The 17,046-nt window shown below is 36.5% G+C and overlaps 1 protein-coding gene across 26 annotated transcripts in view; it reads right to left on the bottom strand.

Moving 5' to 3' along the window:
• NRG3 (neuregulin 3) overlaps nucleotides 7,357-17,046 on the bottom strand; it is a 1,111,986-nt gene continuing 1,102,296 nt past the window's right edge. For 6 of the 26 annotated variants that reach the window (XM_017015573.3, XM_017015575.3, XM_011539172.4 and 3 more), the window contains 3 exons: nucleotides 15,416-15,589; nucleotides 9,682-9,753; nucleotides 7,357-9,438 (listed from right to left, as the gene is read on the bottom strand). In XM_017015573.3, coding sequence (XP_016871062.1) covers nucleotides 8,931-9,438; nucleotides 9,682-9,753; nucleotides 15,416-15,589 — 754 coding nt within the window. In that variant the 3' untranslated portion in view covers nucleotides 7,357-8,930. Of the gene's footprint in view, nucleotides 9,439-9,681; nucleotides 9,754-15,415; nucleotides 15,590-16,363; nucleotides 16,541-17,046 lie in introns of those variants that run through there. The other 20 variants (XM_017015574.3, XM_017015576.3, XM_047424512.1 and 17 more) reach the window with 7 other exon arrangements.

The following is a 17,046-nucleotide window of genomic DNA, read 5'->3' as shown; positions in this document are numbered from 1 at the left end:
ATATAATGGCTTGTATAGCCATTAAGCATATGTATAAAGATACTTTACTAGTGAAGAAAATTACCAGACTGTACGTAAAGTTAATAAAGTGGGATAAAATATTTTAAATACTAGATGACTCCAATTTTGTAAGAGACACATAGTAAGTATACATTCCATAAAAAATATTGGAAGGGAGTGTGCTCAAATATTAATGGCGATTGTATTTTGGTCATTCTAAAACGTTTCTTCTCATATATCTTATGTGTAAACATGTAATATTTTTAATTAAAAATAAAATTAAGCTTTATTAAAGTAATGCATTTCTGACTATTCCAAATCAATTATGTTTTAACCACAATTTGTTATATTGTTAAGCAAATACAAAATAAACAAAAGGCTCGATGAATGTTAAAACTGTATATATTAGCCACTTCCAGAAAACAGTTGAGTAATATCTAAAATGAATTTCCAAAATGGTCATACTTTTTGACGCAGCTGTACCACTTCTTACAAAGTATGACCAGGAAATTACTTAAAGAAAATAATCTTAACCATTGAGGCTCACCTATTTTTTCTAAACATTATGTAATTTTTAGTTATAGACCTTTCCACTTCACAAAAAAGAAAATGCATTCACTAACCTATTCACAAGAATTACAATTTCAGGTCTTTACAGATCTTATGAAATGTGTTTATAGATCTGCAGTTTCTTTCCAGAAAAAAAGTAATGTGTGTTGTAGTATTAATTGTGGGGTTAGTTATGGTAGTAAATAAATTGGGTGAATTTGTGTCAAATAATAATAGAATGTCTACATAAGTCATAATATAAAAGCAAACCAGAATTTATGCAGTCTTTAAATAAAATGTTTATAAAGACAATGTATCGCCATAGGACAATATGATATATAATGTTTTAAATTATAATACAACACAGTGGGAAAGTAATTTTGTAAAAATATGCCTATATGTGGAAAATGAGAAAAAATATACAAAGATACAAGTTACTATGATTTTAGCATGGTGAATTAATGGTTGACTTTTTTCACACTTTCAGTGACAATTCTTAAATAAGATTTAAAAAGGGTGAAAAGAAAATCTTTAATTGACTTTATGTATTATGGAAATGTTTATACAGTCAGGTTCCTGTCTCTTCTTTTTGCCTGGAGAAAGGGCTCACAGTAGTGCTTATTCATTTCATCTTTCTTTTCAGCTGAAATCTGCTGGATAACCTTCTTTTTTTTTTTTTTTTTTTTTTTTTTTTTTTTGACAAAGGGATGCCCCATGTTTCTCAAACTTTGTTGCATGCTTTTCAGCTATTTAGGTCATTCGGACCCAAGAAAAATTGCAACTACTTGTGTCTGTGTTACACATTTTAATTTTCAAAATATATTTACATCTGCCCTTATATTTGATTCAGACCTGCTCCTATGTTTAGCTTAAAAGATGGGAGCCTTCAGTGAAAGTTGTCAGTGAGAAAATAAGGACAGGATAAAAGTTAATGATTTCTTTTTACAGATTTGTATTTTTTTTCCAACTTAAACTGAGATTTTCATAAATTTTGTGTTAAATTTGAAGGTATGAAAAAGTGGACATTTAGTATATTTAAATGTTAGAGCTCAACATGCATACTTAATGCCCAGTAGACAATTCTTTAAAAAATAAAATATCCATATAGAAAGAAGAGTGTAGTTACAGGGAAGAGATATTTTTAAAAAACAGATTTTATTGTGCAAAACATTTGCCTCATATTTCCTTACAATAGTTTTAGCCTTAGACTATATTTAATTTTTAATGTTTAATTTGAAGCCCTTACACACATGGTTATTGGTTTTTTATTCATTGTTTAAATAATGAGTATGTGGTTTTAATTTATTGGTTTTTTCTTTTACATAAATGGATGATTGTGTCTTTCTCTTATAAAATGAAAAATATTGTTGTAGGAAACAATTCTAAGAAGGTTAAAAAGTCTGTTTGCAACATAAGGAAAATTTACGGGCCCTAGGGTTATGTCTGTATATGAGAAGATAGTGGCTAAAGTCATGAACCTTATTATCATCTACATTTGAAATGTTCCTAATTTATCCCTCTACTAACACAACTCAAATGAACAAAGCTATCTTTCTCTACAAAATCACATTAGCTTCTTATTTTAGCTGAAAGTTCCCTGTTTAATAAAGAGGAAATGAGATAAGAGGTGAATGCAGTAAGAATACAACCTAAGCTGACCGTCCAGCTTTGGCAAAGGCTATTGAGGAGATAAAATTGGGAAATGGTGGCCAAGGATTCCCTCCACAGATAAAAGCTTACTTGACAAAGTCAACATGCAAATCGATGATTACATTCACATCTTAATTTTTAATAAGGAGTATGATATATCTCCCCACAAACAAAATGCAGCCATAGTAGAAGTAAACGCTACAAAGTTGTTGAGGGCCATAAGTCCAGCATATTTTCCATAGCCTTCATATCCTCTCAGTGCAGGAGACGCCATTTTGAAATGGTTGTTGGAAGAAAATAGAGCTACGTGTACACTCTTTTAAACAAATTTGTTATCACAGGCGTGAGATATTGTTTCCTAGAAATTGTTTTTAAAATGACAATTGGAAATATTCTGGTTACCATTTTTCATGTATTCTGTGTGTGATTTACATTCCTTATTTAAAACATGGCCAAATGGATTAATAAAATCTGTTAATGATGAAGAACTATGGAACTCATTTTGATTTAGTGTGTACAATTGCATGCTTAAAAAATAAGAGAGAGCCACAGCATCCCAGCTACTCGGGAGGTTGAGGCAGGAGAATGGCGTGAACCCAGGAGGCAGAGCTTGCAGTGAGCCGAGATGGCGCCGCTGCACTCCAGCCTGGGCGACAGAGCGAGACTCCGTCTCAAAAAAAAAACCAAAACAAAAAAACAAAAAGAGAGAGACAGCCACAGCATTTCTCTCTAGCTCTCTTAAAATATACACAGTGGCCACTGGCAAGTGTGTAGTAATGTTTAAGGTGAGTTGTCATGTTGTATTTGTATCAGTTTCAATAAATGTGTTATCTATCTTCCAGACTTTTATTAATAAAGACAAGAATCAAAAGCAGGCTGTGAAGAATAAGCCTTCAACAGTAACCACTATACTTTCTTGCTGCATGCGTAGACTTTCTATGAAAAATATCTGAATCCAAGGTCATCTATGTCATCGAGTTTCAACACACCATGTGTGCTGTATGCCCTGTGTGTGTGTGATTTGTAGAGCCCTTAAATTTAAATTTATTTCAGACAGGAAAGCACCAGTCTGGTGTATAACAAGGTTGTATGAAGGGTTCATCAGACCTCTAAATACATCAAAAACAAGTAAAAACTGCATTTTTTTTCTAAATCAATTTGGTAAAATACTACATTGACTTCTTATAATTTAAAAAAAATTAACTTCAATTTACTGTCTTTGGGTCAAGTATTTTAACATTTCATATTGTTTTATTGAAGGCTAAGGAATTCAGACTTTGGGATCTTGACCAAGACACATTATATATGGAATAATTAGTGCTAGTCAGGATGCTACTGAAAGAGCATATAAATATTAATTTGTCAAAAACAGCAATTACAATCAAAAGTAAATATGCAAGTAAACCCTGCATTGTTTTTGTCTATCCTGCTCCCAGAGATAGGATTATTTTAAACCATGATGTGAAAGTATTTCCAGATAATTTATTCAGTATTGGTAGGAGAGTTTATATTAAGTTTGACATGCAAATAATTGAGAATATCAATAAGTATCTTGTATTTATGAATATCCAATGAGGGTGTGTCCACTGCCTCTGTAAGAGAAGGACCTCTTCAAGGTCTCATGCCTTCTCTAGAGAACCCCTTGTTCTGTCTTTGATAATTCATCACATTTTCTTAAAAAATTCTGGGGCAAATTTTGGCCTTTCTTTTCAAGCTTTGGAATTGGGTATTTTCTTGTCCATCCCTTTTTTTTATTACCTGTCTGAGGTAAATTTACATTAACAACAACCACAAAAACAATCCTGTATTTTTCTCTATGGAAATTAAATGTGATATTATAAATGTAAATATTATCCACTGATAGATACACAGGTTCTAACTATTTTTGAGCCTTAGTGAGATAGACGTACAGCCATCAATTTTGTAAAGACTTGTGTTCAAGTGAAAGAATGACAGGTGACCAGATAAAGACTGGGTTAGAAGGACTGGAAAACAAGCCAGCAATTTGGAAGAGAAATCAGAGATAAATGGTTATCCACCTTATTTGACGGTGAGGTCATGAAACTAGTGTTATGTGTAGATAAGGTATAAGTTTTCACAAAGACAACTTTCAATAGAAAATATTTTCTAATTCATTTCCAACAATGAGAGATTGTTTGCTATCACACAATTAATTCTTTCATAGTCAACAGTACACGTGCAATCAATATAGGTATTCATGACAAAAAATTATGAAAGTACTAGAAAGCTGTTCTCTATTTTATTAAGATTACATCTGGTTACACCTGCTATTATCTTCACCGGAGTATGCAACATTAGCCCTCAGTATCCCCTTTCCCCGCAACACACACACACTGTCCTTATTGAAGTTTAATGGGTACCAGAAGCAAAGGCACCTGTTTAGGCACCTCTGGGAGAAGCTATGTTTAAATTTATAAAAAAATATACTTGAGAACATTATACACTACAAAGACAACAATCATTTACACTCATTTTAGATGTTCATTTCTAAGAGATAATCTAGCAGAGATGTTATTCTAGGATCTTGTGAATTTTCTAACCCAAGATTATTTCTGCTTGTATAAAAAAGAGAAGGAACTGAAAAATGCCTATATGATCAAAATGTTGCCAAGTTGGCTTGTCTCTAAGTGCTTTGATTTCATTGGCATTCCATGAGGCAATCACTTTGATGTTTGTCAAATTAAACAGAAGTAAAAGTACTAAGATATTCAACTCATGAATTTAATATAAATTTATATGTGTGTGTGTGTGTGTGTGTGCGCGCGTGTATGTGTGGTTACAGTAGGAAACAGATTATAAGAGAATATTGTGGCTCTAAAGGAGTGAATTTCATCTTTTACCCTCACTATTTCTTTAAAAGGGAAAGAAATATTAAACTAGGAAGAGATAAAGCTTATTTAAAGGCTTCATTTCCCGGGGCATATTGGGATGCATTTAAAACTGAGAACAGCCTTGAAACCTTGTGCTGGTTTTGCCTAGATGAGGACTGAATTTCTGAAGACAAGAGTACAAACACAGTATAGACATGCTATCCATTGAAAACATCGAATCTATACATTTGAATAATAATACTTTTTTATTCTTTATATATAAAATGTCTCCCAGATACCAAAAGATCAAATAAAAATCCCACCCCTCCTACTGCGTTCCTAGGTTGGCTGTATACTTATTTGAGGAATGTTTCACAGCCCTTGTTTCAGTGCAGTATTTTCTGGTTTATGGGGCTGGAATCAAAGGGACCGCTATTCCCTCTGCCCCAACACACAGACTTACGAAGTCAGTGCTCCCTATAGCACCATACTGCAGGATTGGTGTGCATGACTGTGGCATCCATCAGACATATTCTGGTAGAGATCTGGTTACCGATAGCCTTAGCCATGGGCACCCGAGGCCTCACTCAAATTGTAGCTGTCATTCAATCCAGAAGCCAATGGGCACTCTCTTGAAGTCTGCTTGGCTCTTCTGTTCTCTTTTTTAGTAGGTCTGATTTATTAATATGATCAATACAGGTTAACTTGTGAAGTCCTATATACAACACTCTTCCTCCTCTAGACAACTTTGCTATTGCTACTTAGAAATGATGTAAATCATTGGAGGTGTGATAAATTTACAAATATTTAGTTTTTAACCCATAGCAAGGGAGATATTGGGCTAGAGTGTAAAACACAGAGCATTTAATATACATAGGAAATTTAGGAGTAAAATTTTGATGCTAATTTTCCAAAATCATTTCTACTATTTCTCGTCATTATAAGATTGCTCACATATTTTGAATGGCATCCCACAGTAGTCACAGGCAAATTAGAATAACATATGCTTTACAAAACAAAAAGGCATATCAGAAAATGAGTCAAAGTAAAAAAAATGGCAGGTACCATCCATTCTCCAGTAAATAATGAATATGGAGTGTATTTAATTACAAATTTCCAAATATATATTCGCATAATAAAGACAAGGAAAATGAAACAAAATCAAATGTGTTTTGTTGAAATAAGCGCATGAGCTTGAAGGATCAAGTACTGATGGCTCCAGGTGTTTTCTATGTTAGATTCCCTTTGAAAGTACTGATGCCATCAGCACTTGTCAGCTGGTACCCAATGATGTAAATTTTGAGCTTGAATACTTTTCATAGGAAAGCATCACATTCCTAAAGGAGACAAATGACCACTAAAAACTAACCATTAATATAGATTACTTATGGAGGGTTTTATCTTGACTACTAATTAAGGGAGTAATTGTATCTCTAAACTTTATATCAGATTGCCAGTGGATTTGCCAGATTATTAATGCTTTTTTAGAATACATGGGGGGTGGGGTTATAATCACATAACACAGTTTTTCATATTTTTTAAAAGGGGTTGGACCAAGACATAAGTTTCATTGACAATCTTAATGTTTTCACTGTAGACAATATGTTAGAATAACTGCAGTGAGTCACACAGCATATAACTTCTTAATGGTAAATTCAGAACCAGTCTTCCAGATAAGCAAGTATAACATTTTAGTTAAAAAAAAAAAAAAAAAAAAAAAAACAAGAACAAGGTTGACTTCAACAAAGTTGTGAGGCCTTCCAGGTGTTTGATATAATTGTGATAAATTTCAACACAATGACATATTGGATGCTCAACTTGTCGGGTTTTTATAGATCTGTTAGTTTTTAAGACCATTTTCTAAAATGTTCCCACAGATATAATATTTTTAAATGAGAACTTAGATGATCTAGACATTACAAATTTATAATAATCTTTTGAAATTCTACCAATATTACCTCCATATTCAAAACGATGGAACTGTAACAGAACAAATAATAAATATCATCACACAACCTTTTGTTAAATGTAAAATGCATTTTTACCAAAGTGTTTCAACATCTGAGACTTTGAATTTCTATTAAGTAGTTCTGATAAATACATAGTGCTCTTTCTTTTTTCTGGATGACAATATGTCTACTAATAACTCATGTTCCCAAGGAGCAATTTGCAATGTATTTTCAACAGAAACAACTTAACCTGAAATAAGAATTGTATATATTTACTGCTTGACTCAGAAATAGTTACATTCCTTCTCCATGGAATGTGTCTTCCACAAAGAGATTTTAACCAAGGTTTTCCAAAACTGCAGTAAAAGAAATCTTTTATGCTTTCAAATACGGTGCCTTTTTATTTAAAACAGTGTAAACATAACAACTCAACACCACCAATAATTGGAAAAAGACTGGATATGTGAACACTAATTTCCTCATATGTCCCATGAAAGTGAGGGTAAATAAACAGACAAATCTTCAGGAGAGGTTTCAGTTCACCTTAGCAGTGGTAAAAATATTGCTTTATTCCAAATGAACATACAACACAATTTACTGTTCTTTTGGGGGGCTTCTTGTGAACTGAATAGTCTGGGTATTTTTATTTCAACAATTTATTCTTCCCATACTAACCACAGAAGCCGAAGCCTTGGTCCACACATAGCAGACTTGCTATAAAATAAATGGTAATGAGGATGATGAGAAAGCAAATGGTAACTGTCAATTTGTTAATTGTCTTGTATTAATAATTTAAGTAGGCATGATTCAAAATAAACACACATCCTTGATGAACTCACCTTATGATACTGATATCATTAATGAGCCAATAGTTGATCCTCTCAAAAGTATTCACATCAGAAAATGGTCTAGACAGTGTCAAGAGTTTTATACGACCCCACCATGCAAGTGACCTTGATTTAAGAACTAACTGAACTTTATACTTAATGGAAAAATTTAAAGTGAAAAGATCTAAGAGGGAAATAATTTTTCTGAATAGTAGATTCCCTGATGTTTCAGAACAAATTTTAGCAAGCGTAATACGCGCACACATGCACACACATACGCACAATGAACACATGTGCTTACAGCATATGTGCCCGCGTGAGCAAGTCCACACACACACACGCTCGCACACACATGTGCACACAGGCACACAAAAACTGAGAAACGCTCCTCCAGAGCCTCTAAACAATCTCAAGGAAAAACATTTCTATTAGCATGATTTTAGTGACACGATATAAGGATTTTTTTGTCTCTTTTTCTGTAATAATTTCATACCTCCAGCTGAGATCTGTGCATTCAAATCTCAGAGGAAGGTGGCACACAAGAGTAGTTAAGATTGCCCCCGGTTTCTCCTTCTATCTCCTGTCCTCCTTCCCATTGCAGAGTCTTTTGTGGCATTCTCCAAAAATCAAATAGAAAACACTACATGTGTCGACATGACATAACCTGTGATGAGGCTATTGGGTGAATAGAAATTTAGGGCTTGGGACTGGCAAGCCAAATGGCAAGAGCCACCTGCTCACTGGTGCATCCACCTGCGGGATGCAGCTCTCCTCTTTTTGAAACCAGGTAACTGCCAGTGTTTTTTAATGAGACACTGGCACTGTGGGGCCAAGGGTCTGAATTGCCCACATCTTCTAAGAGCCAAAGAGGACAGTGTTGGGACTAAACGAAATTGGATTCAGAATTCTACCCAAAAGCTTTAATGGTAAGCTTTATCCCTCCTGAAACATTTCTTTCCCTTAAAAAAATATTTTGTTAAAAAACACTATGATATGAGGGCGATAGACTATTTGGTTTCTTCTAAGTAGATGCTCTTAAATTAATGCATATAAATAATTTGTATTTGATTTCCTCTCTTTCCTGTTGAGCAAAGCATAGAATGCACAGATTCCTACATCTCAAGTCACTTGGTCAATGCAGAGTCTCTTTGTATTTCATTTCTTAAGACAAATTGCGCCTCTCGTTCTGATTTGGCTGTGGGACTCAGGGGGAGAAAGGCTGTGTTTTCGCTTGCACTGTCCTCGGTTTCTACGCTGGCCAGTTCGTAGTCTTCTGACCGTCTGGCATCAGTCAGAATTCGGATCTGCTCCTGGACAGTTTCTAGCAATATTTTCACTTCTTGTTGTTCTGCTATAAGACAATCGCTGACTGGAATACTCACATTGACAACGTCAGCTGAATAGGAGTTTTTGCACCATTTGATGCTTTTGACTTCAGAAATCCCTGGCATTTGCAGGCAGGTTTCCTCTAAACCCACTGAAGGGATGATGGGCACAGAACTGGCCCTTGTGGATGAATAGCCCACCAGGTCCTTTTGCTCCAAGCTATTAAAATAGGGGTTTGTCTCTCTTGAAGGCAGTTGCATATTTATTGATGTATTTCGTTGGGTTTTTAAACCACTGGATGAATACCTGAAAAAGAAACACAGTGTTACTCCTTCTGCTTTCTACCAGGCTTTGTTAGAGCAATACTCAATCCACAAAGCACTTTTCACATGCACCATCTCACTGAATTCTCACAGCAACCCCATGAGACGGATAATAGGTTCCCAGTTAAACAGAGAAGTAAACTGAAGCTCAGATAGGTGAAGTGACTTGCCCAAGGTCACACAGAAAATAAGTGACAGACTGAGACTCAAACCCAGATCTTCTTACTTTAAGTCCAGGGGTCTTTCAACACACCACAGCTGTATAGGCAGGTGGGATATAGTCTTCCTGACCTCTATCCTAGAATACAAAGTAAATGGGGATTGAGCAGGTAAGTGTGGCCTTTCCATTGTGACAAACAGGACACCCATAATGGCATTAGTCCACTCCATCAACTCGACCACCCTCTCAGCCCTGGGTTAGTCCAGTAGACTTGTTGTGGCCACCCTAGTCGAAGCCAATCAAGAAGCCCAATATTAAGCATCCAGGTACTACAATCAAGAGTTTTTCTGCTTCACACTGATTTTAGGGGATCCAAATCCAATTTCCACTGGCACTGTGCTCTAAAGGAACCACCTCACTGCCAGATTGCTGAGCCAGCCGGTGGGAATGGGAGGCTAACAATTCCTCTACCTGCCTGGGGATGAATATGAAGTGGGTTCCACAGGGCTTCTACCCATCTAGCATCTTTCCTTACAACCAAGTAACCAAGAAACCAAGTAAGGTAGTTCTTTGGTCCATGGCAAGGGCTTGTCAAGAATGCCAATATGCCATCACAAGTCATTTGAATATAGCAGAATCTTCTAAGTTCCCTTCTTGCCTGTGCAGGGCTAGTAAATCTGTCTCCTCTGTGCTGTTCCATGACAGAAAATGGGACAGGTACGCAGCAGATTTATAGAAATGGGGTTTTGGAACTTGAACAGTAGTGTTTTATTCTATTTCTTAGTTATTTGTCCCTAATTTAAACAGTAAACATTCAAATTTTGACACAATTTAAACATATCAACCTTCCATACAATAAATCTCCTTTCCTCGACTGCCATTATTATGTAAATGAAAATCATGTTTATACATGTAGATAATAATTGCAATGCAGTGTGTTGCACACTAAATACAAATCTTTATTGTAAGGACATGATGGGAGCAAATTAGAGGTCTTTCCACCAGACAGTGAACACAAACAGGGAAGAGATTTAGGCCTTTGTAGGCTCATCCTCTCTTACTGTGCCTAATACAGAGTTTGTAATCAATACACTTGAACTGAGTGAACACATGAATACATAAACAAATCTTCAAGGTAAACTCTCCCTTTATATCCTACTTAATGTCTATTTTCAGACTTAATAACAACAGCTAACATCTGTACAGTGCTTGTAAAAATCACTTTCAACTCCAATTAACTCATTTTATTTTTAAAAAACCTTGTAGTTTATTTATTATTATCATTTAATGGGTGCGTAAAATAGACTAAGAGGTACTCAAATGACTTTCCCAAAATTATATCTTTAGTATGTGTCACACAGAGAATTTAAACCCAAGTTGTCTTATTCTAATTACTATCAATGTTAGAGGTTGCTAATGAACGACTATCCTAAGGGGAACCAGAAAAGCTTTTTGGGGTTATGTAATCTTTATTCATACAAACTGCACAGCTACATATTTGGAAATTCTTGGGGAATATTACTCCATTCTCATTAGTGTTATATGAGAAATATGAGCCTAAAATATATGAGCTAAAAATATGAGCCTAAAAGTTCTAATCAATAAATCAATTTCAACAAGAAGTAAAGAAAAAATTTCAGGCTTTTGTTTCGCTCTCAGCACCATCTTGTTAGCATGATTTGTATGTATGAAAATATAGAAAGTCTGCCTGTCAGGTTCACCAGTGAAACAGAGACAAAAAATGTAGCCAGGATAGCATTTCCCACAAATATCATCAGGGTATACCAGCAGGTAGAATCTGGTAAGTTGATATGTGATGGTGACAGGTAAAAATTCTTACACTTGGGTCTAAACAGTTGGAAAAAGGTGCAAATATCTTAGAGAATATAAATTCAACAAGTCAACTATGTGGCATGACTAAGACATAATCAAAGGCAATTCACGCCAAACTTTGAGGGTTCTTCTCATATGCCAGAGGACTGACTAAAGGATTTAGATGAGAAAGAGGAATTGCAGTGGACTATTAGATGTCAATTCCCAAGTCAGGCTTTGAACACATGACTGGTAACAACTGAAATTTAAAATGTTACCATGACATGAAGATGAGCTGTAAACAATGAGAACTTTCCTAACTGTGATTTTGTTTTGAATTAGACATGATTTCAAGTTCCAAAATTACTATATGCTCTGGAATCTCAGACAAATGGCAGCCTCACTTTAATTTTGCCATCAATTAAAACAATCAGGTAGTAACACTAACTTGATTGCTCAGAGGGAGGGGAAATTTTTCTGAGGACTAATTGAAATAATGTCTCTGCCCTGTTCTACCAGAGACACAGTGGCAAGCCTCACTTCCCCCCAGACATGATGTGAGTGTCTCACCACTGGTATTCCAGCAGAAGTTTAAGTGAGAGCTAAATTTCTAGATGTGATTCTGAGTCAGAGGATTCAAAGTTCTGTATCTCTTGAGGGCCAATGATGCTTCCACAAGTTCGGTCCATGAGCTTATCATTTCACTTTGGGCCAGTCTTCCTCTCATCCTCAACAAAGAAATTACAAATGCATCTTGTCTGTAACTATGTGAGTCGAAGCATTCTTTTAAAGAAGAAAGATTCCAACTATTAGTCACTTGGTTTGGTTCCCAGTCATTCATGAGTCAGGCTAAGGAATTTGTGTTTCTCTAGGCGACTCCAAACCATCTCAGTTCCTAGGGCACATGAAAATGAATGAACAGACTATTTTGAAGGCATCCACGCTTCCCTCTGAAGCCATAAAATTAGATATTCCGTTTACAAATCATCAGCCATAAATGTGATTTTTCTTCACATTCCTTGTTGATTTAGTGGTTTATTTAGTCAGAAAAGCCAGTATTCAATCGCAGCTCTTTTACACAGGACTGTGTATGTCACTTTGGGCTAGCCATTTAAACTCTGATATCCTTAATGTGCTTATCAATAAAATTTCTAAAGAATAACTGAAGAGAAGTATATAAAGTTGCTAGCTAGGTGTGGTAGGTATTCAGTACATTTTGAATTTTATCTGCTTTTAAGGTGTGAATCTAACTTTTGTGATTCCATCTCTTTTTGTCTGGCATATGAATACATTAGCTTGATTTTCCTGACATGATACAGTTCAAATTCTGTGAGCCATTACCATGGCTGTCATTGACCAGGGATCCAGTCATGACAAAGTTTCCTCAAGAATCTCCTCTCCACCTCACTCCTTCCCCAGGCTACAATAAGATCGATGTTAGGTTCAAGCTGGGCTGAAGTTCTTGCCAAGGAAAGAAGCCACATACGTTGGAAGCCTAACTGTCATAGACAGCGCCCACTTGCTTGGTAAACAAGGAGCAGATGGCTGATGGCTCTTGCAAATTCATTTCCCCCTCCTCCAGGCTGGGGCCAGATTTAAAGACGGCCTTTAGCTGTGAAATTCTATTACGAATCCCATTTCCAGTCCAGAGAGACAGTCAGTCCCCAGGGAGTGGAAAATGGCTGTTTTTAAGAACTGAGAATGAGATTGCTCCCTGAGATTCATTGTGCTGGGTATACAGTGACTTATATTTAGAGTCACCATTTATCAACATCTGGTGGATATCACACATGGGAAAATACCTGTGGCCAGGCAACTGGAGAGAATATTCCAACCCAACAGTGACTGAACCAAAACAAAACCACCACCACGCAGAAAATAAGTGAGTCTCCCAGGAGGTTAAAAAAGCAAAGCATTGCCTGAACATGTAATGAGATCTCTGAGCCCCTGATGATATGTGCATTGTTCAAGCTTGAGCCTGGCACAGGCTCCAAGCACCCTTACTAATCGAACATATGGAAAGATGGTCATAACAGTGCCCAATAGAAAAAAAAGGCCAGCATGAGCTGGGTTTTTTGTCCACTCACAAAATCTCTGAAGTTGATTTTCCCTCACTTGTTCTTGTAACATTCATCCCAGGGAGTTTATGTATATGTATATAGTCATATTCACTAATAAGAGGCATCATTAGTTATTTATATGGAAAAGGCACTATGAAACATGATCAATTATAATTATGGGTTAAATGCAAGCCTGCTTTTCCACAGATAAGACCAAGAGAAATGCAAACTGCTTCTTGACTCGCATTATACATTTTGAACCCCTTGGCTGTTATGTTTACTTTGCAACTGTCACCCTAAATCTGTACCAAATGCCTTTTACAGTCCATTTGGAATTGCTTCAAAATTATAAAACCTAGCCACCGGCCATTTATTTCCTATCTTCCAGTTTTCCTTAAGAAATCTGTTGCTGATCTTTGTTAGACAGGACACTGCTCCATATATCCCATGCCCATATGAAAAGAGAAACGTGAGGCTCTGTGCTAGACGTAACCCGTTTTGATCTTTAGCCTGATAGAGACAGTCTGGAAAAATCATCCAGGCCAAAGCAGCATAGAAACCTGGCTTGGCTCGTTCAGAGAGATAAAAACAGAGCCACAAGAACCTGGCTTGAGTGAGGGAAGTGATTTCTGAAATTTCTAGAGTAAACCCTGATTGCATTGCACTTGAAATTGCTGAAAAAATTATAACAATTACTGTGACAATAAATACCAGTACCACTTCTCTGCTTACTGTGTGTCTACTACAAACTCTTTACACACATAATTTTTAAAAATCTGCCCAACAATCTTCAGGGGGTTGATATTATTTTACTCAATTATTTGTATTTTTTTTTTTCTTTTTTGAGATAGGGTCTCACTCTGTCACCCAGGTTGGAGTCCAGTAGCACCATGTGCACTCAGTATAGCCTCCACCTCTGAGGCTCAAAGGATCCTGCCACCTCAGCCTCCCAAGCAGCTGGGACCACAGGCACACACTACCATGCCCAGCTAATTTTTTGTATTTTTGTTAGAGATGGGGTTTTGCCATGTTGCCCAGGCTGGTCTCAAACTCCTGAGCTCAAGTGATCTGCATGCCTCAGCCTCCCAAAGTGCTGGGACTATGGGTGTGAGGCAGTGCGTCTGGTCTATTTTTCTCAATTTATAGATAAGAGCATCTAAGACCACATCATAAAATATTATCACAGTCACACTAGTAGTAAGGAGCAGAGATGGGATTTGAATTCCAGTCAGTTTAAGCAAGGATCGCATGTTTAGTTGGGCAGTTTATGCCAACTACATGGATAATGGTTAACATTCATCCTGTACTCAGCTCACCATGCTTTGAGGCCTCTATGGATCTGTGTCCACCAGAGGAAGGGACACCTTTTGCACTGTAAAGAGTAGCAGCAATGGTGTCCAAAGCCCACCCGTCTACCCCTAACTTGCATATATGAGTTCAGTAAGTTGTACTTTGACTTTACACTCTCAACATTGACCCAAATTCTACATTCAAGCTCAGGGGAAGCAGATACTGTACGTATGCCATGAGTTATTGTTTAGCGTATTGTTCACAATACTTATCAGAGAATTCGGTCCTTTTTCTAATCTGCAGATGAAGGAACACTTTAATCCTCCTTTGATTTTTTAAATCAAAGACAAATTTCCAGTTGTATTAGCAAATGATCTAATAACATATTGCCTAGAGAGCTACACTTACTTTCTTCCTAGTTATATTTCTTTCTAATCTAATGTTTCCCTGATACCTATTTTCCATCACAACTATACATCAAAGTTGGTTCACCTTTTGTAGAACAAAGATGGCAGTAAGCATATATAGCCAGTTAATGAATAAATCAATGAATAAAACCCCAAGGAACTTAAAACTTAACTTAAAGCTATGGCATTAAAGACACCCTCCCTAAATTCCACTGCTGTTTTAAGACCTACCCTTGGCAAGGTATCGTATCCTGGTCTGGGATCCTTGATTCTTCGAGTTGCTGATATGCTGGTCCCACAATTCCACCTAGCCTACTTCGGGGTGACGGGGGTGTCCTTCTGAAGGCATTCCTATGGAGCATGCCACTTCTTTGCCCTGGGCTGCAGCAAGAGGATAGACTCCTGCTGGGGTGGAATGAAAACAGACAAACAAACAAACAAAAGACATCATAGCAATAACCTCACAGGTGGCTGCTCAAGCTTTGCAAACACTGAATCTGCACCCCAAATTCTCAAAGTTCTAGGCCAGGGCCATCCCTGAATGAAGTATATGTGGTAGAATGAGATCAGGAATAGCCCAATCCATTTTACCTTTGGAGACACTGAGAAAAAGGGAAGTTCCTGGATTTCTGGCTTTCTAGGTTAGAGCATGACTGATGAAAATCATTGCAACTTTCCAGCCAAGGTAAGAGGTGAACTTAAGGAATTCTCAAGCTCCTCATTCCCATCCATCCTGATTATCCAAGCCATCATAGCTGTCTCTCTAATAGAAATAAAAATAGCCTTCTTATGAGACGCTGACAAAAACTGAACACAGTAAGCCCAGAAGGGATATGGGGAAAAAATTCACTTATTAGCGATAAAATTAACAACTTTTAATTGGCATTTTCTCATTAACATATGTGTTAAATTCCCTGTTCACGACCTCAGATTTTAATCAATCTTGACAAACTAAATTATTTTTCTTCTGAGTTTGCTTTTAATAAACATCTGATTATATATTTTATTTGACTCATACATCCAAATGCCTAAATAACTATATGTTTATAGATGCCATCAATGAGCAAAACATGTAAGTGGGTTATACCACAGGCCTTAACAAACTGAGAATTCCTACATAGATTATGCACAGAAAAGAACTAGACTCTATAAAAATCCATTGCTGATGAGACTCATTACCTGTTCCATATCCATTCCCATCTCCACCCCACTGAATTGACCCTACTGTAGACTGGTGAGGAGAACTTTGCTCATGTGTAGACATTCCACGAGATGCTAGTTTATGTGGTCACACTGGTTCTGCAGTGCTCAAATAATAAAGGAACTGAGAATTCTGTGCTCCATTCTCATTTAACTCTGTAAATATCAATACAACCATAGAAAGAAAGATGAAAACATTCTCAAAATTTCAATAAATTTATCAAGGTTCTAAAGAAACCAGTCTCTCAAAGACATTTTACCCATATTACTATATTATTTGGGGTTATGTCACTTTTCTTCCATAAATATTACTGTTAATTCTACTTAGTCAATACAAAACAGGACTTTACAAATATTATTTAAGGTTAGAGTTTGAAAATCTGGTATTTGAGTGTTAGTAACCACTTTCTTGGTTGTGGCACGGTGACTGATCAAACTTTATATTCCTCAAGCCAACATTAACTTCCTAAATGTGTGCAAGCAGGAGATCATATCTGGCAACATTCATTGTTATACCTTCATTCCTTTCATTCCTTTTTTTTTTTTTTTTTTTGAGACAGAGTCACCCAGGCTGAAGTGCAGTGGCACGATCTTGGCTCACTGCAACCTCTACCTCCCAGGTTCAAGTGATTCGCCTGCCCCAGCCTCCCAAGTAGCTGGGA

Source organism: Homo sapiens, chromosome 10, assembly GCF_000001405.40.
Source record: "Homo sapiens chromosome 10, GRCh38.p14 Primary Assembly".
Lineage (NCBI taxonomy): Eukaryota > Metazoa > Chordata > Mammalia > Primates > Hominidae > Homo > Homo sapiens.
This window is presented reverse-complemented; position numbering and strand designations above follow the sequence as displayed.